This window comes from Homo sapiens, chromosome 1, assembly GCF_000001405.40.
Source record: "Homo sapiens chromosome 1, GRCh38.p14 Primary Assembly".
In the NCBI taxonomy this organism is placed as follows: Eukaryota; Metazoa; Chordata; class Mammalia; order Primates; family Hominidae; genus Homo; species Homo sapiens.
Window position 1 is genome coordinate 66,337,512 of NC_000001.11, and position 25,852 is coordinate 66,363,363.

General features: G+C 37.0%; 1 protein-coding gene across 12 annotated transcripts in view, besides 5 other annotated features; it reads left to right on the top strand.

Moving 5' to 3' along the window:
• Positions 1 to 25,852, top strand: part of PDE4B (phosphodiesterase 4B) — a 582,070-nt gene that overhangs the window by 545,002 nt on the left and 11,216 nt on the right. For 11 of the 12 annotated variants that reach the window (NM_001037341.2, NM_001297440.2, NM_002600.4 and 8 more), the window contains 3 exons: positions 18,016 to 18,109; positions 24,104 to 24,282; positions 25,657 to 25,755. In NM_001037341.2, the coding sequence (NP_001032418.1) occupies positions 18,016 to 18,109; positions 24,104 to 24,282; positions 25,657 to 25,755 (372 nt within the window). Of the gene's footprint in view, positions 1 to 17,023; positions 17,384 to 18,015; positions 18,110 to 24,103; positions 24,283 to 25,656; positions 25,756 to 25,852 lie in introns of those variants that run through there. The other variant, NM_001297442.2, reaches the window with a different exon arrangement.
• Positions 2,475 to 2,769: a silencer, noted in NCBI's record as "tiled region #6178; HepG2 Repressive non-DNase unmatched - State 24:Quies, and K562 Repressive non-DNase unmatched - State 24:Quies". NCBI's record gives its function as "represses a minimal TATA promoter and a strong SV40 promoter by Sharpr-MPRA in HepG2 and K562 cells {active_cell/tissue: HepG2 | K562}" and the evidence as "EXISTENCE:reporter gene assay evidence [ECO:0000049][PMID:27701403]".
• Positions 12,718 to 12,767: an enhancer, noted in NCBI's record as "active region_1153". NCBI's record gives its function as "activates an Ori minimal core promoter by ATAC-STARR-seq in GM12878 lymphoblastoid cells {active_cell/tissue: GM12878}" and the evidence as "EXISTENCE:reporter gene assay evidence [ECO:0000049][PMID:35858748]".
• Positions 14,360 to 14,449: an enhancer, noted in NCBI's record as "active region_1154". NCBI's record gives its function as "activates an Ori minimal core promoter by ATAC-STARR-seq in GM12878 lymphoblastoid cells {active_cell/tissue: GM12878}" and the evidence as "EXISTENCE:reporter gene assay evidence [ECO:0000049][PMID:35858748]".
• Positions 14,460 to 14,509: an enhancer, noted in NCBI's record as "active region_1155". NCBI's record gives its function as "activates an Ori minimal core promoter by ATAC-STARR-seq in GM12878 lymphoblastoid cells {active_cell/tissue: GM12878}" and the evidence as "EXISTENCE:reporter gene assay evidence [ECO:0000049][PMID:35858748]".
• Positions 17,075 to 17,575: an enhancer, noted in NCBI's record as "NANOG-H3K27ac hESC enhancer chr1:66820269-66820769 (GRCh37/hg19 assembly coordinates)". NCBI's record gives its function as "activates a minimal SCP1, AML or CMV promoter by ChIP-STARR-seq in naive H9 embryonic stem cells {active_cell/tissue: H9 hESC(naive)}" and the evidence as "EXISTENCE:reporter gene assay evidence [ECO:0000049][PMID:30033119]".

Below are 25,852 nucleotides of genomic sequence, written 5' to 3' on the forward strand. Positions count from 1 at the left end.
GGGTAAGCAGGCTGCGGTCCAGGGCTCACGACGGCTGCTCACAGGTCCCTGGAGATGGAAGGACATGGGGAAAGAGGAGGGCCAACCCATATCCAAGGAGTTCAAGAATTCTAAATTCAACCTGACCTTCCAGGCTGTTATGGAGGGATATCTGTCAAGGTAAAGGAGATAGCTCAATGTATATCTTTGTATATTTAGACTTACAGTGTGTGGCCCCACACATGTTAGAGGTGACCCTGGATTAGAGGGCAGAATAGAATTAAAATCAGTTCTGGTAGCCAGGTGGGCACTCACACATTTTTTTGGTTCAACTTTTCTCTCTTTACTGCTCAGATTTATATAGACTAAATTATGGAGGGAGCAAAATAAAGTGAAAAGAGCCTAGGAATAAGCCATGAGTTTGAGTTCTAGCCCTGCCTTTACTTAGGTATAGTAATATAGACAATAAAACTATTTGGAATCTTTCCATATTCTCTTCTATAAAACAAAATAATTGGAAAAGACCCAGCTCTTCAGTTTATTGATTGAATAATATTAGTAAACAACAGAACTACCTTTACAGGTGTATGCAAACATTGTGCTAAGCTCTTTACCTCATTCTGTAATCAATATTCACAGTAACACTTTGAAATAGGTACTGTTATTATTCCTGCTTTACAGATGAGTAAAGTGAGGCATACAAAGTTGAAATAACTTGCTTAAGGTAAATCATAGAGCCAGGATTCATATCCAGTCCATCTGACTTACCATCAATGATCCCAATGAGGCATATAAAGAAAGAAAAAAGTTTAGAGTTATTTAATAATTCTTCTAAGGGGATTTTGGATTGGTTGGTGGGTGATCTTGTTCTTTCAACTGTGGCAAGCATTATTAGTGAGGCCTAGTTCAAATTTATATTCTGTAGCTACCATACTCACAGCCTCTAGGATGGCCATTAATTGCCCTAAGCTCAGTCTTCTTGCCTGGGAAGCAGTGTAAGGGGAAAGAGCAATCGCAATTATAGAAAATGGTTATAAAGTGCTCATAAAAATGCAAATAATAGTATTAAACTAATCCATTGCCTATTTCAGATCAATTTGCTCACTTCACTATCTGTTTCTTAAAATTCTCCAACATAGCCTAAGATAAGATAGTAAAGGTCTGTTCAAAGCACTGTAGACTAACCCCAAATTCCCTTTTTCCCTGCTTCTCAAAATAAAAAGGGAAATAGAGATAAGCTATTCTTGGCCGGGCGCGGTGGCTCACGCCTGTAATCCCAGCACTTTGGGAGGCCGAGGCGGGCGGATCACAAGGTCAGGATATCGAGACCATCCCGGCTAAAACGGTGAAACCCCGTCTCTACTAAAAATACAAAAAAATTAGCCGGGCGTAGTGGCGGGCGCCTGTAGTCCCAGCTACTTGGGAGGCTGAGGCAGGAGAATGGCGTGAACCCGGGAGGCGGAGCTTGCAGTGAGCCGAGATCCCGCCACTGCACTCCAGCCTGGGCGACAGAGCGAGACTCCGTCTCAAAAAAAAAAAAAAAAAAAGAGATAAGTTATTCTTATTTTTTAATTTATATGATCATTCAAATGATTTGGGCAATTTCATTATATGCCACAACCTTTCCAAGGCATGGAACATGACCATAAAACAGAGAATTAATGCTTCAGTAATATGTAAGGGAAATTTTTGGAAGTAACATGTCCACTGTTTTCCTTGGGCATTGTCTTCAAATAAAGATGAAAGAGAAGATTAAGCTATTTATTCTTTGTCATTGTTTCAGTTACTCTTTCTATGACAAAATGGAGTTGTATTAGTGAGTATTAGTATTAGTGCAATTCAGTATTCCAAGTTCTAGTCTTCTCAAAACTTAGCAAATCAAAGAGTTTGAAAGTTATTTGGTGCTTTGTAGTAAGTTTGATTTGTAATCTGTTTTGTTTTATTCAAATAGTTCTTCATTGGTTTTAACAGAACCATTTCTTTACTCAATGGTAATCCATTTGGCCCAATCTTTCTGCCTAACTCACTTGAAAGTCCTCAAGTGAGCAAGTCTCTAAAAAACAAACAGAAATGAAGAGGACATTGCCTTTGATTGTTTTACCTCTGGCTACCTGATAAGAGAGCATAATAGTCTCAAAATCTGATAAATAAATCATTTTAAGGGGAGTATCTTTCTCCACATTGGGGAAAAAATAATAGTTATGTTTAGATTGTCAAATGTAAATGTAAATGTAGAACACTAGTCTTCAAAAATAGAATTCAACCCGTTAGCAGAATAAATGTTTAGTCTCCATTTTTTTAATACTTTTTTCTCATCTTTTAAAAATTGTTTAGTTTTTTTTTGTTTGTTTTTTTTGTTGTTTTTTTTTTTTTAGAATATGTCCGAGTCTAAAAGGCTCCTAGGTTGTATGCCATTGTTGTCTATGAAAGAAAAACCAAGGGCGATGGTGCTTGCATTTGCAGTATTCTTCCAAAACATTTTTCTTCTGAGTAAAAGTGTGCTCAACAAGTGGAGATAGCTCAGACATCTGGAAGCCAGGACTTACTAAACAAGAAGATGCCAGGGCAAATTTGTGCCACAGTCAATAGGTTTCACACTCTTGAAGGCATGGTGCCAGTTGTCAATATGCTTTCCTGAGCATCCTTTCCCTCTAGCATTTTTCAGGGACCTACCAGCACCTCTCTGTCTTGCTCACTTGTACGTGATGTTTCCCTCAAGTGGTGCCAAACTGTTTAGTCTCTTGTGTATTTCACTGTAACTTCCTTTGTTTGATTGACTTTAAAGTAGCCAAGTGCTTCCACAAAGAAAGGACTGTTAAGTTATTTAGAAACGAAGAAGACAGTAAAACTCCTGTTTCTTTTGTTTCTGCTTTGGGAAGTGCCAGATAATTTTTTCTTCTTATGGAATAGATTTTAAAGCTATAAATCTTGCCATTCTGTTCAACAGTCACTTTTTTCCTTCTGCTAATTAATTGTAATTTTAAAATGTATCAGTTTTGAAATCTAGAGCCCCCAAAGATTGAAGTTTAGTAAATTTATTAAAATAAAATGTATCTTCATGGCTCAGTAACTTTCATCTTCTAATTTTTTTAGCTACTCAAAATAATTATAATTTTTTAATTAACTATTAAATACTTTACATGGCTGCCATCCCCTCACTCTTTGCTAACAGCATAGTGCATAATGTTTTAACTTTAAGCAATTATAAAAATGAAATTTGAATACACATACTGGGAAGTAAAAATGACTAAGCCAATTTTTAAATTTTAGATTTAGGACAAGAGGTGTTGGCATTTGATATCTAAAAAGATAGATTTTAAGTAGTTGTTTTAGAAAGAAAATAGTAAAAAGAAAAATTATCAGTAAATAAAAATAGATTTCAACTCAATTATATAGGCTATGCTAAAGCCAATCAGACAGGGCACAGTGAAGTATTAATTTACCAACTATCTAATGTCTTTGGTCACTATTGATGAAATTTGATAAATCAAACCAAAAAAGATCTAAACATTTTCTTTCTAGTTATAGTTTTACATGATTACATTAGACAAAGTCCTAGAACTTTAAGCCTAGAAGAGAGCCTTAAGTATTATTTTCTATTTCTATTTGAAGTCATTTTATAGATGAGAAAAAGAGGTGGCTTTTGCCACTAATGACAAGTGAGGATTAAAGTACCTAATGTACTCCAAATAACTTTGTAAAATATAGAGCACATTCTAAATGAAAAGTAATTTTATTATGGCATGACTTCTCCAAAGTCTTAAGGTGTATTAGTGGGATTCAGGTATTAAAGTATAGGTCTGATCATAAATCTGGCTTACTGTTCATCTTCAGCAAAAGGCTAGATATGTTTGAGAAAGACATGGGACATTCTCTCTTTTGTTTACATTGACTTTTAGACTTCTCATTCTTCATTTACGTTTCTTGAGTAAAAGGTATACATAAGTGTCTTAATAATTTCAAGTAAAGAGAACTAATTTAGTATGCCTGAAAATTTAGTGATCAAAACATAGCAAGAACTAGTTGGAGTGAGTTACTTTAAATGCCCCTGGTTTTAATTTCAGAATTTTTAAAAAAGCCTTAAATTTTTGAGGCTTTTGATTGTTGTTTGCTTTCTCACTCATTCCAATGTCAAAGTTTAGGTAGTAAAAATACCCTGTGGTTAGTGTAACTGCCCTTAACTTCTTTCTATTTCTTTCTTTCCTCTCTCTGAAACTGAAGATGATAAATTGGAAAGTTTTACCACTTGGATTGTTAAGCCTTGGGTTCTCTCTGCCACTTTGCAGAGCTGTTAGCATGGAAAGTTGAACGTGAGATGGTGATTCCAGTTTGACCCTCTCCCTACACCCTAGAATGTTTCTGCACAATGAGCCAGATTATGTAAAGCTCTCACAGCTCAAATATAATTTCTAGACTCTTGAGTCATATTACCAAGATCCTAGTGGAGTTAGGTACAATGGTGTTGGCAGCTGCCTTGTAAATAGTTTAAATCAAATAAGTCTAATTCACAGCATATAGAGACACATTTTTATGTATTTAGCCAACTTAAAATCAGTCTTAGTATGTGTAGATCCCTAAGTTAGCTGATACTGCAAGTATTTTGCCATAAAATTTGGATAAATAATAAACTATTAATGTAATTATTTAAATGTCGGGAAAAATCAAGGGAAAATGACTCGAGGAATTGAGCATCTTGGGATAATATTTATTAAGGGAAATTATTCCAGAAGATCCTTGAGAGTCTAACGTTAGCTCTTTTTTCTCCATAATTTCTAATCATTATTTACATTTCAAAGTAGAACAAAGTAAAAGAAAATTCCTTAGTATATAATGTAAGAAATTAAAAGAAAATTTCGAATTCTTAAGTGAGTAAGAAAGCTTAGTGTTTTGGTTATTGGAATAAGATACAGAAAACCTGAATTAAAAAGCTAAAAAGTGACTGGGCGCAGTGGCTCACGCCTGTAATCCCAGCACTTTGGGAAGCCAAGGTGGGCGGATTACTTGATGTCAGGAGTTTGAGACCAGCCTGGCCAACATGATGAAATACTGTCTCTAATTAAAAAAAAAAAAAAAAGAAAAAAAAGAAAAAAAATTAGCTGGGCATGGTGGCACACACTGTAATCCCAGCTACTAGAGAGGCTGAGGCAGGAGAATCACTTGAAACCAGGAGGTAGAGGGCAGTGAGCTAAGATCACATCCACTGAACTCCAGCCTGGGCAACAAGAGTGAAACTCCATCTCAAAAAAAAAAAAACAAAACAAAGCTAAAATGAGGCCAGGCCAGTGGCTCACGCCTGTAATCCCAAAACTCTGGGAGCCCTAAGAGGGCGAATCACTTGAGGCCAGGAGTTCAAGATCAGCCTGGCCAACACGGAGAAACCCTGTCTCTACTAAAAATACAAAAAATTAGCCGGACGCAGTGGTGCATGCCTGTAGTTCCAGCTACTGGGGTGGCTGAGGCATGAGAATCGCTTGAGCCCTGGAGGCAGAGGTTGTAGTGCACCAAGATCGCACTACTGCACTTCTGCACTCCAGCCTGGGTGCTGGGTGATGGGAGTGAAACCCTGTCAAAAAACAACAACAAAAAAAAACAAAAAAAACTAAAATGGAGATTTTATTGAGGGAAAATCCATTTACAGGCTAGGAGAATCATTTGTGTATAAAAAGGAAAGGCACAGATTTTTTTTAAAAAAGAGAGACTAAAATTGTTAGTAGCTCCTCTTGATTAAAACAGTGGACTTCCAACTTCCTCTCTACCCTCAATGTCAGAAAATCTATGGAAAATATGGCTTAAGAATATTATCATCACTTGAGAATAAAGAAACAGAGGGATTTACCCTCCATCTTCATATTCCATTGACTAGAAAACTTCCCCTTGGCTCAAACATGTCATCAGATCAGACCCTGTGCTATGATTCTGCTCCTAGGACGCCAAACTGTGGGGCTTTTTTTGAAACCCTCCCTTAGCTATTCTAACTTCCATAACATTTTCAAAGGCCATCCTCTTACCTATCTTATCAATTAATACCATAGCTAACATTTTAGTTATCTGGGATTTTATTTATGTCTGCTCAGATTGCAAGTTTGAATGTTTGAGACTCCACTTTCCTTGCAGGATTCGGGCTAATACATGCCAAGGAGGCATAGATTTCTTTCTGTTTAATTGTAAGGATGGAAGTGAAAAGCAAAGAAAGTTTTTGTCAGTTGGTGGTAGTTGATTTTTGGTTTATTTTAAAAAGCTGTCTGCAGTTTTCTTGATCATTTAAGAAATTTGTTGACATGGCACTTTTAATAGATTATCCTGCTTTTAAAGAATGCTGGCATGGGTAATGACCTCACTGGTGGGCACAGAACAATAATAAAGATAGAATTTTTTTTTTTGTATTTTCAGAAATTTAAAGTTATGAAACATTTTTAGACTATCCAGTGGCAATGTGCATTTCCAGTATACTTTTGTATGATGGTGAGAAGCTAGGGACCTTCTAATGGGTCACTAATGAAATGGACTCCAACTCCCACTCTGGATCTCTCACTCATAATCCACAAGGATTAATTTAACCTGCCAGATGCTACCCATTTAGCAAGCTGAAAGGACACAGTGCCCCCCAATGCCTGTAGCCTTGTCTGCTGTTATTGCTATTGCTGGCTCCATTCTATAAGTGAGTCAGATGATTTAGATACATATATGTTTACTAATGCAATGGGTAGTTTTTCTTGGCCAGGCTCAGTATATTATTTGTGTTCTTGTCAGGGAGAGCTACCAGTGAATTTTTTCCTGCTGTATTTTAACACTCAGGAACTGGTTGTGCAAAGTTTATTTGCATCTTTCTTGTGCATTGCATGGGAGTGTCCTTGAGAATATCTTGTAAACATTTGCTAGTATTGTTTTTTAAATATTTAAAAATCAGTATCATTTAATTTCAGAGAATTTGCTTCAACTTACTGGAATTAATTAAAAATGCTTTTGTATTTATATTTTTTCTTTTACATATTTAAAGTATTAAGATAAAGTCATTGTCTAATGTTGTCTGCCATAGTAAAATTTGCAAACTGAGAAAGGTCACATACTGCTTTTCAAGACTCTTTAGGGCCTTTAATACAGTGCTAAAATAGAAGAACTTTGTCAAAAATAAACAAAAGTATGAACTCCTTGGTAGGAGTAGATTCTCTTTGTTTTAAAAAAGTTAAATACATTGGGTTAAAATGAGCAAAATATGAGCTCCTTTTCGTAAAGTTAATAAAGGAGGAATAGAGATTAGGAAAAATTCAGAAATTTCCAATCACTGCTTTTCAAATCTAATCACATGATCCAGGACTTCATTTCCCAGAAAACTCTGCATCTGCCCGAGGGAACATTAGTTATGAGACAGTGCAGAGATTTCTAAGGCCCATTTCTTCACTTAAAGTTTATGTGCTCTCAAAGCTTCCTGTGGTACCAGGATAGAGCATTAAATAGCGTTATTCTCTTTGAGTTATAGCTGTTTCTTATTTTTGTGTTGTTAGATCCAATGTAGCATGGTAATAAAACATATTTGAAGCATCCCTTCCTGCATACACAGCGCTCTTACCTGTGTTCTCGTATGACACTCACCCTGAGGAAGGTCTTATTGTATCCCCATTTTCAGATATGAAACTGAGATTCGGGAAAGATAACCGATTTGTCCAAGTCCTTTACCTACTAAATGTCAAGACATAGAATCAAATCTTGTTCTCTTTGCTCAAAAGTTGAGCAAAGTTGTTCTCTTTGCTCAAAAGTTGAGTTAAAAATAAAAGTTAAAGGGAAATCCACAATTTATTATATTCTCGTATAACTTGTTAACAAAACATATCATCACAGAATTTTAAAGCTAGAAATCAGCGAAGTCTTGTTTTTCAGACCTCAGTTTAGATATCACCTCTTAGAAAGACCTTCTTTTATTACCCTAATTCAGCTGCTTGTTGGTTTTGCAATTTACTATCACAATTTATGGTTTTTGGTTTTGATCATGGAACTTGGTTTTTACTGATATCTTTCATTAGACTGTAAAGTTACTGAAGACATGAATTGTGTCTACCATGTTCACTAGTGAAGCCCCAGCAGTTACACTAGCTGTAGACACATGGTAGGCATTAGAATAAATATTTTTTGATCAATTGCATGAGGTTCAGAAACTTAATCTAATTTGTCCAAGACCAAGTATTTGTTAGTGATAAATCCATTAGAACCCTGGAATCCTGTTTCCTGTTGTGCGGCAATGGCTACATGTAGGGGCCTGCCATGCCTAATTCCAGCTTTCTAATTGTTAGGTTGCATGAGAAACCCTCATCTGGTTCCCAATGACCCCCAAAGTACCCTGAAAAAAGGGAAAGCTTATTCCTACCCTTCTCTTTCATCCAGAGTCAGATAACAAAGAACAAAGTTGTCAGGGACCAGTGCTTTCTTCCTGTGAGCAGAAATGTGAAGCATGGTTTTGGTTGGGGTTTTTGTTTGTTCGGTTGGCTTTTGGTTCAGTTTTGCAATATTTGGCTTACTATTCTCTCAAAAAGTCTGCATCCTGTGGACAAGAATCTAAGCCCTTTGGAGACTAGCAATGGCTATTCCACACTCTCTGGGGAGCCTATTTATGAGCACATGTGTTTGTAATTCAGCCACTCTCCATATCTGTTGGAGAATAGCAGCCTAATTATCTGCCATCATTTGGTTATGTTTTTCATTCCTGGCATATTGGTGACACTCCTCTCACCTGAGCCACATATTCAATTAATTCATATGTGTTACCACATTGATCTTAACTGTGAAAATCTGAGCAAAATGCATACTTGGTGCAGTTATCCTCATGTCAGGTAGTCTGTGGTCAGTCACAGCTTTTAGTCAATAGATAAAAAGTTGTAAAGTGTCTTAATTTGAGAAAATTGGCTAAACCAAAGAAGCATGAATGGATAGTTACCAACAGCTGGATTTCTCCAAATAGACTCTTTTTTTACGGTTTAACTTAAGCATAAGACCATTTTGAGTTATGGTGCTTTTCATTTGACTTGCTTCATCTATCTTTCTGGCAATTCTTGTTTACGCTCCTTAGACTGGTGAATAATCTAAATGTCAACCAGAGAGTCTGAACTTCTATGAGTAACTCATGTGTCACATAATCTATGTGACATAGTAGTGCATCACACCTGCAGCAGCATGCTATGGGAATTCTGTAATTAATTATATATGCTGCTGTCAACAATGAAAAGAAGGTGTTCAAGTATCAAAGAACCAACTGAAACTTCCACCCAAAAGCAAAGCCAAAGTGAGAAAGGTACCATGAGCTCAGATTATTTTGAAATTTACAGATAAAACCTAGCTTCAAGTACAAATCCTGTGGAAGAAAGAGCACACACTTGGTCTCAGACACCTTGGCAGCCACTTCACATATGTTATTCCTAATCTTCCCATTTCAAAGATAGAAAATTCTAGTCTCTAAGAGACTCAATGACTTGCTAAGTTTCTCAGACTAAGTTACAGTACATATTTTATTTCCAGACTCAGTTGAATTCTCAGATGCTCCTATGTCATATTTTATTTCCGGACTCAGTTGAATCCTCAGATGCTCCTATATCATGCTGTTATGACGTTGGGTTAGCTGAGGTCACTGGTAAGGCAAACCTGCAACCAGCACTCCCTCTACTTCATGTTTGCAGTAGAAGCTGCCTCTATAAACCTTCCGTGAACCTAACAAACCTATGCATCTTGAGGTGCATTGTTGTTCAAAGCATCTCTCCATCTCTTCTAAATTATGATAGCTAATAATGGAAAACACAAAATACATAACAAGCCCAACTACCTTTTTTAATAGGATAAAATTGCATAAGAAATAGCTGTCTATGAAATTTATGTCTATTTTATGTTATGAAACTATTTTCATCTTTTATAGTTTTAGTTAATAGTTTATGTGTGCAAACCTCCAACCTGTTACAAATTTTCCTCAATTTGCCGGTGCATACTCTAGCTTAGGGATTACTGAAATATCAAAACAGATAATAATATATATGCTTTCAGGGAAGGAAAGGATAGATCTATGTAGTCCAAAGCTTTCTTTTATTTTTTTGATAGGCCCTAGAGTTGATCTTGAAAATTGCCAGATTAATAGGCTGTCCCAGCCCTGAGAAATCGCTAATCTAGAAGTGGCAATTCCCAAGGCAGGTTTTGAAGCATTCCATTGTCTTTTACCTCAAGGGATGTATGAAAGTCACTAGCTGAAATCAATACAATTAATAATAAATACAATGTATTCTACATGGTATTTTTAAGGGGTAGAGTAATAATCTCAAAAACAAGCTATGATAGATTTTTGTAGCTGCAAAAAATATTAGAAACTTCAATAAGGCAGGATTTAAAACAACCTAAGAGGTACTATAGACTGAAAATGGAATTAACTTCTTAAAGAGAATCATGACCAATACGTAAGGGTTATGAAAAGAAAGTATAATATTTGAGTGGTAGTTTCCCTGTTCTGTGTAACTACTTTCATGTCAGATATGAAGGTCCTAAAACATAGGTGTTATTTTTCACTAGTCAGGAAAGGACACTAGACTGGATGGTCTGTGGGTCTGATCCACAGTAAGTGTTCTGATTGCTGAAAAATACTATAAGTTGTAGAGCTTCTAGCTGCGAAATGTTTCAAAATAAACCTTTGTCATCTACTTTGGAATCATATTAATGCCCTGTGGCCTTAGAATTGACTCTAGAAGCTTTCAGTTAAATATTAGCCGTTATACCTGTACAGAAAAAGTTGTAGAAAGGCTTAAAAGGAAAAACAAAAGAGTGACTGAATAATGTACCTTGATTCCTTGATTTTTCTCAGTTACTATGATGATTTTTGTCATCTGTTGAAAAAGGTTTCTGCTAAATTTAATTATCAGATCATCATCTCAAATCTTCAAAGTTCCTTTTTTTGTCTTTCTCTATTAACAGACAAATTAAAAGGGAAGGATCAAGTATATGAAATGAAATTGTGATGCTCCAGGAACAGTTTTAGGTCTTACGTTTCTCATTGGAAGAAAAGTCCTCTGTCAAAAAGAAAATTTTGAAAAGTTTAAATTATCTAAAAATATACAGTGCCCCTAAACTTAACATATATAATGAGTGTATGGCCTGGAAATCCAATCTCTTCATAGGCTATTTGCACATGCAATATCAGGACCATACTTACAGTTAAAAAAAAAAAAAGATAAAGAAAATTCTTCTTTATCTGAAATTCAAATTTAACTAGGTGCCCCGAATTTTTATTTGCTAAATCTGGCAACCTTATATATGTGGAAACATAATATAGTTTATAAATATTATATATATAGTTTAAAATGCATAGTGAATGTATCAGTCTTTAGGTATAAATAGTTACAGTATCTTTTGTCCATTTGATTACATCACTGCAGCAACTTTCAGAGTTGAGAGAATGTTGGATCATGAGAAATTGCTATAAACATTCTTATGGGAATCACTTTGGGTCTAGGAAACGTCAATTTTTTAGTGTTCCAATAATGTGTGTTATATCATCTCTTGAGAAGTTTTCAGAAATTCTGAGAAAAATGGACAGCAGAAAAGGGTTAGATAGATAGGAAGAAATATGTAATAATTTGGGGAGCTGTTCAAGCCCTAATCTCATTTAGGAGATTAGTTATAGAGCAGCTATATTCAAATTTGTTTGATCTTTTGATATTTTTCAATTCTGTATGAAGGCATTAATGGTTTTTCCCTGCTTTGCCTTTTAATATGTCACTTGAGCAGAGACTTGTCCTCTAACTAGCAAGTAGAATTGATTCTATTGTTGCTTCATCATAATTTTTGATGCAGAATAATGGTAGATATATTCATGCTTGTTTTTCGTTGTATACTTACCTATTGATTACTACGTTGCTGAGCAGTTAAGACAAGAAGCACTCAATTCTAACATGTTTAGAAGAGTTTCTTTCTGATTTGGCACATGGACAGTGAGAATGATCTCACTGTGTTTGTTCCCTGGCACACCAAAGGTTTGCTGCAGATGTTAGTACAGCAGAACTTGTTTGCTAAGATGACCCATTATGGAACACTAGCTGATTAAGCAGACGTTAATGGACAATTGCATGTCCATTATTACTTCTTTGACCATGTTACCAACTCAATTCAATTGCACTTGCTTTTCAAATAAGACAAACCTGTCAATAAAGAAACTGGACATCAAGTTTCAAATGATTGGTAGAGTTTATAGGGAAACACAAAAAGGAGGGAAGAGATGAGATGCACATTGTCAAATAATCTGAAATGTTAAGAATTGTGGAAATTGTTAGTTTCATAAGGAGTTTTAGACAAGCACACTATATCCCTCATTCTGTTTATTTCTTTTTCATTTAAAACTTAGATTTGCTTTACTTCTTTGGGTCTTCATTTCTTCCCATGCAAAATTCCTGAAAGTCAAAAGGAAGATTAGAAGCTAGCCATTTTACCACTAAAGAAACTGAGCCCCAAGAAGTTAATTCAGCTTACCCAAGATTACATATTTGCTTAGGGCCAGAGCTAAGACAGGGACAGACTCTGTTTACTTCATTTCTCACTAAACTGTACCACTGCAGTTTCGACTTCTTTCTACCACTGAAGGCACAGAATGCACTGAAGGCATTCTGTGCCTTCAGGAGGAATTTTCAGCCCCTTCACTTTCCTGATGCCCGGGAATTCTTTTTAAGTTATGACTAACAAAGTATAAAACATGAGTCAAAAGTTAGTCCCTAATAAAGTCATTGTGACTTTAATGACTTCGGCAGTTGTTTCATTCTGCAAAAACAGGAAGATCCCACACAATAAGGCGCCTGTCTCACAGCTGGGCTCCTGCGTAGACGGCCACCCACAAGAGTAACTAACTGCTGGGGCTGCCTTCCTCTCTTTGACACCTTTTTATTCTCTGTTCTTACAGTTTTCTCCTACTGACCTCATCCTGAGGTTATCCATGAGAGGAAGGTACCTGCTTTAGCTAGTCTTTGATAGGGTGAAGAATAGTTTTAATCACTTAGGAGTCACTCCTAAGTGATTTTCAGGTCACCCTCAACAGGCCTAAATTAGTCTTAGAAGAAGCTCTTTCATGGGCTTTATACTAGCTTCCTGTGTTATCACTATTCTGGACTGTTTTATTCTCAAAAACATAAAATCCCCAAATTTTAGATTTGAGAAGAGCCTGCGATCATTCCAGTTCACTCCTCCTATGTGATTAGTTTAACTAAGAACTCATTACCAAGATAGTGCCTATCTTGCCTGCGGATCTTTGCATAAAGCTCAAACTAATTCTCCCATGAGAAATATAGAAAAGTGAAGAAGTGTCCTATCACTTCAGAAGAAACTGGCTCAGAAGAAATAATCTCTGTATGCAGTGTTAAAACTAAAGAAAAATTGAAGCCATCAAACAAAATGTTCCTATCAAGTGTAATTGAATTTTAGCTTTTATTACCTATTCTCTACTTTTAAAATAACTTTTCACTATTAAAGGAACTTATTCCAAAAATCAGACAATTTTATAGAAAAGGTATATTCTAGGCCAATAATATTAAATCACATATCTAGAAAATATACCTTCTTCCCTTTTCAAAAAATAGAAGCAATTTCTAGCAGTGTATGTGAATCTAATGTTGGGCATAAGCTTAAGAAGGCATCGGAGGAATTTTTTATTAGAGTTTATTCACAAATTTTGCTTGTCTGTGTTGAAAAGGGGCATTGGCCATTTCCTCTGGGGACATTATTTCTAGGTAGGCTGTAACAGGGTTTTCCTGTGAAGGCAGATTCTTAGGGAAAATAGTATCTGTGTACATGAGATGGTAGAGACACATTTATCTTTAAAATAATGTGTTCCTGTTTGTGGATTTCTCTACTGAATTTAATAAAGTAAATAATGCCCATTTCCTTCCAATCCAGTAACTCCTTGGGACACAGTTTTACCCAGGAGCTATTTTACCTTCGAGTCTGGATGAAACGTGTAACTTAATAAATAGATTCCAAAAGTCTTACACTATGAAACTCTGAGGGATGATAAATGCTTCCCTTCCTTTGTTATGGTCTGAAGCATTTTCAATTTGAGTTGTTTTCCTCAGTCATGTAGAGGGAGTTTTGTTTTCTGGGAAGTCTTGGTTGCTGGTAAATAATGTGTCCAAACTGTAGGAGGCAGCCACAGAATTTATCATACAAGTATGAAATGTTAGGGTTGATCATTCTCATTTTACACATGAGAGGTGATGTAACTACACAGGAGAGTGAGAGCTGAGAATGAAAAGTCAAGATTTGTCTACTACATTGTGGCTGCCTCTGGCTCAACAGAAACACTCCCATGTGGGAGTCAGATGCTGAAAGCCCAACTAAGCCTAGCTCCTCAACTGTCTCCTCAGGCTTAACTTCAAACATAATTCATATCTATTCTATTTCTTAATGTGTCTCATCACACAGTTAAACACTAGTCATACTAACTGGACTCTACATATACTAGAATGTAAAAGATACCCTTCCACCCCCCGCCGTCTGCTCCTTGAAGGCCATGTCTGCCTTTCTTAGTTTGTACAGAGCCCAACATAAATGGGCCCTTCATAAGTGCTTTTTGATGAGAGCAATGATTGCTTTCACATCAGTGTGGTTGGGCCCTCCCTTATGGAGGAGGAAAACCAACAGTTGTTGCTAAGCAACATTTAAAGGACTAGGTTAGTTTCTGACACTAAGTGACCTCCATTTGCATACTTCGCCATGTTGTGTGTTTTATGGTTGCCTTAAGATGACTATGTTTTTTGGTAGCATTGCTGTGCCCTTAGCAAAAGGCTCATAGGAGAATTAGTTTAAGCCTGGGAAGGAGGAAGGTGATATTCATCTGTTAATGACTTGCATGAGTACACTGATCCCTTCAGTAAACTATGCGGGAAAGGTGAGGAGTTTGGTTTATTTTCAGCCCTGCAGCTGAGAGCCACCTCCCTGATTCCATATTGAAAGTGATTGACAATGTATCCCAACAGGGTCCTGTGGCAATGGAAGACTATAGAAAGAAAATAAACAGAGAAATCTTTCCTCTTATAGCCTTTTATGATTCAGTTTCTACCTGCTCCTATCTTCTGAGCAGAGTTGCCGATATAGCTAGTAAAGAACTGGTCCTACCCTCTCTAGACTGTTTGCTGTTGTGGTTAAACAACATGCCCTAATATATCTATTCCTACTAGAATGAAAGCTGATTAAAAGCATGAAAAGAGTTTTTGTTTGTTCCTTTGTTTTTTTTTCACTGCTATATCATCACTCTTTTCCCTGGTCATTTTAGGTATTCAATAAATGGTTGGCAAATACGTGAAAAAAGGGCATTATTGAACTACTACAAACCTGATTGACTCTAAAACATTCCTAAGTATTTCAGAGAGACTAAAGGAGCCAAAATGAGACAATTGTTTGAATGTTATATTTGCCTAAGTCTAGTGCAGAGAAAATTATGGAAGAAATCATCTGTCTCTAAGCTTTTTACAACATATTTTTACAATGATCCAATTAAAGTTCACTTCTTTGCCAAAATTCAGCTTATCGGTCAGAGCATATAAACTTGTTTTCTTCAGCTTCTGAGTCTTCAGCCTAGGTGCCTGTCTTTTGAGGATTTAAAATGAGAGGCCATTGTGACTGAGCAGTTGTGTCTTTAAAACGAAATAATTTGGAATTCATGTGATTCACCTGGGATTCAAAATTGCACAGAGGTTCAATAAGTAAAATATGCTAGCTGAGATGATTGATTCAGAGATGCCTGGTTACAAACATATTGTATCATGGGAAACACACACACATACGCAAGCAGGGTTACCCAGAAGGAGGATGATTGGACATCTTTGAGAACAATGCCTGGTGCAGTGAGCCAGCAGGCAGAAATACTGGCTTGCATTGGCTTCACCTCCAAAAGCCAGGTCTCCTAGGCACAGGCGATGGCATGACTCCGGGCTTGGATGCTTGAAATAAAGCTATTGTTGGATGCGGATGCTCATTTGAAAGGGGAATGCCTCACAGGAAAAAGAGCCAATTGCAAGTTGGGGCTGTTGCCATGGTGCTTTGCTATTCCTTCAACTTGCTATAGATGAAATAAATCCTGGGAGTACAGGGGTAGGGTAACAGAGGGGAAAGATGAGGAGGGAAATGGGGTGAACCTGGGGCGGGGAATCCCACTGCAGTAAAGCTCTAGTGTTTCCCCTTGCCTGTGCTTTAACGCTGACAAGGAGAAGGGAGGGGCTGGGAAGAAGGGAGAGAGAAACCTGCAGGGAAGGAATGACTTTCTCAACATGCCCTGGATTGCTAAAATAAAATAAAAATTAATTTAAATCCTCAGATTTCTAATGTGAGTTAGAAGATGTAACACTAAATCTCAAACAATTCACCATTCTTTCAGTAAATGAATGTTCATATTTCCTAACACACTCTGGATCCTAGATGGAAAGGTTAAAAGAGTTTAATACATTTGTCGAATGCAATCTAATATGCATATTAATGAGCTGATGGAGGGCAGAAACTTACATGCTGCATAGGAAGTACTTTTCAAATAAAATAAATTAATTCCATTCCCATTCATTTTACTATGAAAAGAGGCTAAATGCACTGGCACACGCTTGGTGTGTGCGACAAATAATCCTCCAAAAAGCTAGTTCACAAAAATTCTTGTGTACTGGCAGCCTAGTCTAAAAACAGCCATGGTCCTAACCTTTTTTAAATGTTTGCTTAAATGTTCAGAAAATCGATTAATCAAATGCATCATCACTTTGATCAATTAGAGCGGCTGGATTTTTGTGCAGAGGCTGCATCTGCAGAATTCTGGTCTGCAGTGGAGAGAGAGGGTTAAGGAACACCTAGTTGAAATGGGGGAGGGTACTGACTTCAGATTTACTTAAATATTCATGGGGCTTCCTCCATTTTAATCTTCTCCTTTTTAAAAGATGGCTGTGTTTCCTAGTCTGGCAACTCCTCAGGAAAGAAGAATTTCTTCTTCCTTGCAGAGTTCAGCTGAGTAGGACTAATGTAGAAGAGTGGAAACCCCTTCGGCCACCAGGGCTATTCATAATTCATAAGTGCTTCAAACCAGCCAGCTGAATACATTTGGACAGGCTCTTGCTCCTTCGTGCAATTCCTGATTTCATTACTCTCTTCTGCCAGGAAATAAGCAGGGAGCATAGGCTTCTTGCAAGAATGGAGTGCGAAGATGGGCTTTGTTTGGCTTAGGAAATGCCATACATTTTGGAGGTTTTTGTCTTTTCTAAGTTTTGATTATTTTATCACTGAATCTGCAGGGCTTTCCTGATCCTTTCGGGATTGCTCTCTCAGAACTGTGAATTCTTTCAAAGGGATTTGTGGATTGTGGCAAGGAGAGCATTCCAAAATGCCTGAGGCAAATTATTTGTTATCTGTATCTTGGGGTTACATCAAGGTGGGTTAATTTGATTGTGTTCTGTGTCTTTGATAAAATGTGAAACGTACCTCTGTGTGTTTTTTTGTGAAGTACAGGACATCTGTAATAATTTGATTTGTGTGTTCATTTAACCCACTGGGACCTCTTATTTTGAAATAAGAGCATGTTATATTACATTTTATTTAAGTGTACTATGCTGTGTTTTAATCCTGTTCTTTTTACTGAATTCTGTTTTTTAAAAGATGCTTCTTTTTTTTTCTTTTTCCCTTGAACTTTTCACATATAATCTCCTCTCACCAAATAGGTTATTAAATTATATTTTAGAGGTAATTTCAGACAAATGTATTTTTAAAAGTAGGTACAGTTTCAAGTGGAATTATCTTGACCTCTATTAAAATTCCTTTTCCTATGTTTGCATCTTCAAAAGTAATCAGATGTTAATTCTAAGAAATCTTAAGAAAACCTCTTTTCCAAAAGTGACGTTGGAATAATTTCAAATTGAAGAGATATATTTTGTAGAAACAGTATTATTTATCTAATGGTATCTGCTCATCCAACCTCTTGATTCCTGGACAGTAAAGTTGGAAACATTTAAAATGAACATTTGCTCTTTTTAAAGTGGTTAATGCATTTTTGTTCTTTATAAACAGTTCAAAAGAATGCTGAACCGGGAGCTGACACACCTCTCAGAGATGAGCCGATCAGGGAACCAGGTGTCTGAATACATTTCAAATACTTTCTTAGGTAAGATATTAACTGGGAAAAACCTGTTTTATAACTGGGGTTTTCAGAATTAATTTCTACAACCTATCAAGGACATCCTCATGTGAATTTGGGATGGAGTTGAGTCATAGAAAAATCCATTTAAAATAATAACTAAGGCCAGTCTTCAAAAGAAAAAAAAATAAGCAGGAAGATCATGTTTTTGAAAAAAAAGAATTAAAATACCCATCCAAGACAGAGGGTTATTATGGGCTAATTGTATTTAAACGGCCCTCAGCCCCACCTTGTCTGCCTGCCTACTTCCATCTTTGCTAAGACCTCTGAAGTAATGAGGGAAATCCAATCACCCAAGCCCTAGAGGCAGCTCCATTAGCTTCTCTGACATGGTAGCCTTTCACTTCCTCCAATAACTGAGCTTTGAGCAAAAGGTTTCCTCTATGATGTTTTGTAGGGGATATGGTTGAGGAATAATTCTATAGTGATTTGGTCCTTGAGAATAAGCTTTGGAAATAATTTGACTATTGCTTTGCTAAGTTATTTATTAAAGAAAAATGGATGGTAAGGGGGAGAATTTTAATATTATCTGAAGGATTTCATCTTCTGCAAGCAGCCTCGTTCTCTTCCCAATCTGATGCTTTATCTATTATTCTCTGTTGTTACATTACTGGTATTTAACACATGATTTGCTGACCAAAAAGATTGCATGAATGGTCCTCAACTATTGTCATGCGTGTTATTTGATTATTTGGGATTTTTGAATTCAGTCTTAAAGGCACTTTTGTCTAACGAACCTATTTGGACTATTTTGATTTAAGAAGTCCTACAGAATCTGCAAATCTGTACATCAAAGTAAATGGATAGCATTTAGATTCTGATTTTGTTGACTTTATATTGCTACTGAATTACGCTTGCTTATGAAACCTCACTTTCCAGGGAAGCGACCCATTCTCACAGCTGAACACTGCATCCTCTCTTCTTTTTGGAATAGCCATATGGCATTAAATCAATGAGCATTTTCCTTGATGCCTTACTGAAACAAATACCTTTTCTGGTTTTATTTCTAAAATCAATCCTATTTCTCTAACACCAAAGCAGTTCTTGCTATCAGCAGATCAATCAGCCCTCTCTTTGAGCAGCCTCATACAGAGCTTACTGCATTACTCTGCAGTGGATGGTCACCAGACGTGATTAACAAGTGCCTTTCTAACAGTTTCTAGTATGTGAGTGTCTGCAGCACTTGATTTTCTCCAGCTGCAGTTGCAACGCCTTTGTCAGAGAACAAAGGAGAAGAATTTTCATCCATCCTAGCTCCCAGAGGTGCCTGGAATCTAACTTTACAGAAAGCATTAAATACTGATCCTTTTCTTCTCCTTTTATCCATTTGAAGACAGGGATCTTCTGCTGAGCATTTCAGATATACCCTGCTCTGTGTAATGCCCAACGATTTTTCATTAGCTGGGAGCTGTTTTAGGGACATTTTACAGGTTAATGACTGTGGGAGAGGAGAATAAAATCAAAACTGCAAGAACCCATTTTTGTCTTCATAAGCATTGCATTTTAAAATACGAGGGCTTGAAGACTTCTCAGAAGAGACACTCACTACTGGAGTTAAAGTTATATGAAGTCCCTGAGCCCTTAATCATCCAAGACTGGACCTAAGCAGTCCTCTTCGTTTGTAGTCTCTTTCAATATCTGCTTATCAAGGACAACGAGAATATCTTAGTCTACTAATTAATCTTTTTTATCACCATAGTCTACCAAGAAAGAAAGCTGATAAGATAATAAAGATGATTCATTCCTCAGAGTAGGAAAAAATAAAAAGAAAAATTTAAAAAGATGCTAAATATGAGCGCTGAGTCTCAACACTGTCTCAAGATGAGGCAGATGTCAACTTTCTTGCCTATTCTGCTTGCTATTTAGGCATATCTCTTGAGCAAAACCAGTCATTTGTCTTCTCATTGTTCCAAAAATTAAATTCAAGAACAAATTGTTGAGGAAGGTTATTAGAATCTCAATCCTTATAGACTCTTAGCATTAAGAGGGTGGTGTGTGTCAGTGGGTGTATGTGTTTGAGGGTGGATGTGGTAAACCCCATCAAACAGACTAGACGGGCAGATTAGAATTTTAAATGTTCTTGAGAAAATATAGGAAGAAAAAAACCTGTAATATTAACAAAAGATGCATCAGTTGCCTCACTTGTAAAATGGGAACACTGGTATAGATGACATCTCAAATCCCTTCCAACTCTAACTTACTATAACTCTGATATGAACTGAGTTTATCAGTTTTGCTAAGACATACCTGGCCATCTAGATTCTCTGTGGTGAACCCTAGGCTTGTAATCTGACAATCTCAAAAAACAAATAAACGAAGTTTGTTTCCAGACTGCCAGTGAAGGGCATGGAACTCTTAGTCTTATCCTGTGAGCATGATGAATGTTCCTGGAAGACCATAAAGCCTTCTTCATAAACTTTCTGATCTGCATGGGACCATAAAACCTTGTAGTCCAATTCCCTCATTTTATAGGAGAGAAAACAGGGGACCCAGAGGGATGAGGTAACTTGACCAAGATCGCTTGGCTAATACTTTCCTCAGCCAGAACTAGGACTTGGCTTTCTTGGCATCTAGACCTAAATACCCTGTCAATCCTTTAACGAGGAAAGAAGGCTGTTAGGAACGCAGAACATATAGAAGAAAATCACATAAGGACTCTTAACTGATACATATATCATTTTGGAAACAAGTCTTTAGGAATCAGGATTGTTGGAGCTAAAAATAAAATGTTTATTAACAGGCCGGGCGTGGCAGCTCATGCCTGTAATCCCAGCACGTTCAGAGGCCGAGATGGGCAGATCACCTGAGGTCAGGAGTTCGAGACCAGCCTGGTCAACATGGTGAAACCCTGTCTCTACTAAAAATACAAAAATAGCTGGGCATGGTGGTACATGCCTGTGGTCCCAGCTACTGGGGAGGCTGAGGCAGGAGAATCACTTGAATCCAGGAGATGGAGGTTGCAGTGAGCCAAGATCACACCATTGCACTCCAGCCTGGGCGAGAAGAGCAAAACTCTGTCTCAAAAAAAAAAAAAAAAAAGTATTAACAGTTTCTAATAATATAAAAGGTTCCTGTAAGACCATGGCAACCACCTCAGTGAGCACAAAATAAGAAGATCTTAGCAATTTACCTTAAACTTGAAGAGCAATATTTCAATAAAAGCCATTAAATGTTAAAAATGTGTCATCCAGGGAGGAGGGAAATCCCTTAATCCAGAGATAGGTGAAACTTGTGTCATTCCTATCTTTTAAAAAAAAGTGGTGCAGGAGGACAGGGAGAAAGGCAGGCAGTAGACTATATTTACCAGTCCAGGCACTCATTGATGCTGTCACATAATGGGCTCCAGGTTGCTGGTGCAAGGGGAAATAGAAGTGTCTAATTTCAAGGGAAACAAAGCAGGACCTAGGGAGAAGGAGAATAAATAATGCAAGATTTTTACATGTTATATTACAATTTAGTTAATATTTTCATGAACAGAGAAAAGTTATCCTTTTAAATCCTCTACTTACCCTCTCAAAACCTAGAACTTAGAATTTTCAAGATGCAAGGAAAAGAGCTTAGGAATTTTGCATAATTGAAAAGTGTGATCTAGCAAGACATGAGCCTCAAATTATGCCATTAACAGAATTTGGATGAGACTACTTTTTTATCCGCTTTTTGTTTGTTTTATACAGGCCAACTGTTTGCTCACTGTATTCTGACTATTCCATAAATGTAAATTCACTCAGTGTTTATTGTGATTTTTTTGAGTCTGAGTTTCTGATTATTTCCACACTGTGCTGGCTAAGCATTTAATAGAGGAAATTCAGAATAGGGAAACCTATTAGTTGTTCCAATGCCTGCATAGGGAAACACCCATTAATGTCAAATTGGCACTATTTGTGAATAATGGTCTTCTTCATTATTGCAGTGTTCCAGACACAGTAGTGGTTCAGCTCAATTACTCACTGTTGCAGGGAATCTTTAATTAAACAAAGGGAAAAGGCTGCTGGTCCTACTAGAAATGGTTATATGTGCAGTGACACAGGAGAATCTAAGAGCCTCTTTAACCGGAGGTGAAGAATGGTGGTAAAAAGGCAGGCCCTATGGTAGCCTTTCATTTTAGCAAAAAGTAGTAGTTATTAGGAGTAAAGTGACAGGGAGAAAAGTAATTTCAAACTAATATAATATATAGGTTTTATGCCAGAGATTGTGTGGCAGGAAAAAGATTTTTGACAGGAACCTCAAGGCCTGGGTTCTATGCTACTAAATCACTGTGTCTGGAGCAAAGTAATTGCAAAATAAATATCTGTTAAATAAATTGCCCTCTGAGCTTGGGCAAGTTGCTGACTTCATCTGAAAAATGAGAGTGTGGGATTGTTATTGGTTCTTAAACCTGGCTCTGATTATCCAAGTCACTTGGGAATCTTTTAAAAAAAATACTGATTCAGTAGGATTGGGTGGGGCTTATTCAGAAAAATCTGTATTTTTCTGAAGTTTCCTGGGTGCTTCTGATGCTGGACTAGGTTGGAAACCCCTAAACTAATTGAGATGACCACTAAAATTCCTTCCTAAGCAAAAGTCATAGGCTTGTGAGTGTAGGAGCTTGTGGACACCTAGAGACAATACTGATATGTTAGGGATGGATAATTCCCTTGCTTCAGTCCCACAGAGAGCAGGTGAGGTATACCACGAAGCCAGTACTGTCTCACTGTGCTTGCTTTGCTCTGATGAAGTGTCCACAGGGGCCTATGAGCAGCCAGAGGTCTCTGGGGAAAACATGTGACTGTGCCATTATCTGCAAGAGTCAAAACAAATCGTCTAGATCCCAGAATGCCATCTGGGAGCATGTCATTTTCAAATGGCAAAGTTGTCTTCCTACTAATTTTCACTGTAACCAGCGGAGGTAAATGTAGGTACTTTTGAAAGCTGCATTAACTCTTTCAGCCACAGGGTGTCATTTAGTTCAATAAAGTAGTTTTTATGCAATTTAATAATTGCCTCTGTGCACCCACCAGCATCCCTGTGGCCTGAAAGAGTTAATGCATTTTTTTCAGAAGTACTGAAGATACATCTCCCTGTGAAGTGAAATGGAATATTTGATGGCTGATATTTTTAATAGCACAATGTAAAGGAAAGAGCTTCTATAAGCAGGTAGGCACTTTTTTTTTCACTAATCCTAGCTCTGCTGTTACCTTGTTGTAACATAATTTTAAAAAATATTATGAAGTATCATAAATATTTAATAACCTTAAACATGTTAATAAGTGTAATGCTTATTACAAACAAGAGGCCTTATTGTTATTATTTATTGGTAGAATTAATAGACTCCAGGCATGAAATAAAACCAAAATTATAGTCTTCCTCTAAACCTCAAATGGTAATAAACCAAGCCCTTAAAGTAATTGTTTGAGGATTATGAACCATTTATATTTCTAACATATATACTGCTTATTTAAACTGAGCCCTTGCTAAAGCCATATGGATTTTTAAATTTTTTTTAAGTAAAAATAAGATGAGCAGATCATGAAGCCTGTTTTTATTAATCTGATGGACATTTTATTATACAAAAATATGTTAATCCCTTTATTTAAAAATCTACATATAAGTATTAGTGCCCCACATTGCAAATGTATAAGTGTGTACTCCTTATACACTCCTTATATACCCCTAAATTACACTGAAAACAGAAGATTTGGTCTTGGGTCCTATTTTTGCTGCTTTCTGGACAAGTTACTTCGTTCCTCTGGGCCTTAATTTGCCTAGCAATAACATGGAACAACAAATCTTATTTTTCTCAACAAATTTTATATTTTCCCCACTTACTTTATAGAACTGCCCTAGAGATACAGTGAAATAGTGCTACAAGATTTTATTTTATAAGATTCTAAAGCTGTTATAGATGGTTAGAGTTGTTTTGAATATTGCAGTGGATTCTCATAGACACATGTGCTGAAAAACATATTCCTTTGTCTGTTGCAGACAAGCAGAATGATGTGGAGATCCCATCTCCTACCCAGAAAGACAGGGAGAAAAAGAAAAAGCAGCAGCTCATGACCCAGATAAGTGGAGTGAAGAAATTAATGCATAGTTCAAGCCTAAACAATACAAGCATCTCACGCTTTGGAGTCAACACTGAAAATGAAGATCACCTGGCCAAGGTGTGTATAAGCTCAGGTTTTGTGCATGTAGCTCTCTGCTTTACAGCAGACGGATGACCGTATACCTTTTAGAAAATAGTATGGATTGCTTTTGCATTATTATTACATTTTGTGTTAGGGAAGCTCATATGAAATGACTTTACTGTGAGCAGTAAGGCCTTCTGAAAGCTGTCATTTGAGGAAGGTTGATTGAACATGAGACCAAGTCTTGGGGGATAGCCTGGATCTCTTATGCTGGGTAGCCATTAAGAATGCCATTGTTGGGGCATCTGATGGAAGATCCTTTTTCCATACCAAAGAACCACTTTTTTTTGTTTTGTCCTGAGTTAGGTTTTTATGGACAGTTCATTATGAATGAAGAATCCTTCTGAAGAGACATGGGGAAAATCCAAGGAAAGGTCAATAGGCAGGTCTGAATTATCCCAGAGGACATTTCAGGGACTGTATGCCAAGGACCAATGGGAAAATCTGCACTAATCTGTAGTGCTGGAAAAGAAATAAAGAGAAACTGACAGCACTGACTCTGGAGCCCAAACTCCAGTAGTGGAGGGAGGCATAGAAAGAATTCATACATCCTTTAGGAGGCCACACAAAGTGACTGCTGAGGTCCTCTCAGCCTTGTGAGAATATGAAATGAGCTTACTGTGAGCAGTAAGACCTTCTGAAAGCTGTCATTAGAGGAAGGTTGATTAAACATTAGGCCAAGTCGTGGTGGAGAGCCTGGATCTCTTACTCTGGATAGTTACTAAGAATGAAATAAATTGGTCCTTAAATCAGATAACCTTGGAATAATCTCACAACACAGGCCTGAGTGATGTTTCTTCCAGGTCCGTCTGTGGCCCAGGAGCCCTAGGATGTAATTCATGACTGGCATTCTTCATGACCTTTTACATTCAATTGGGTTGACTTATGCACATTCTGATAGCTGAGTCTTCCTGATCTGGCCTTCAGTGATGATAACCAAAGGGCAGAGGAGTTTTCCCTGAGACTGTTTTCCAGCTGTCACTAATGGGCCAGTAAGCAGCAAGGGGAGAGACAGGGACATTGAACTAGAGTGATCTCTATTCACTTGTGGCCACCTTTGAAAGCAACATTGGTTGAAGACTGATGCATGTCCAATATAGGTCAGCAACTAAATTTATAAATAGATACTTTCCCTTTTCAGAATAAAAAATGTTCAGAAACTTGTAGCTATCATGAAGAGGACACCCGACCTCCTAGGTCATTTAACTTTCAGATTTTCACACAACTAAAGCACTCTAAGGAGACACTCTAAAGACTTAAACAGCCAATGTCCAAAAAATAAATTAAAAAAATGAGGCATGTTAGCACAACTTTCCTTATTCCTAAATTCCTTTAAATTTTTAATTATAGGAGCTGGAAGACCTGAACAAATGGGGTCTTAACATCTTTAATGTGGCTGGATATTCTCACAATAGACCCCTAACATGCATCATGTATGCTATATTCCAGGTGAGTGAACAGGAGTGAATACTGGCTTTCCAATTGGATGGCTCTTTATGATTTTTTTTTTCCATCTTACTTTTCTGATTTAACTTTCCTCGACTTT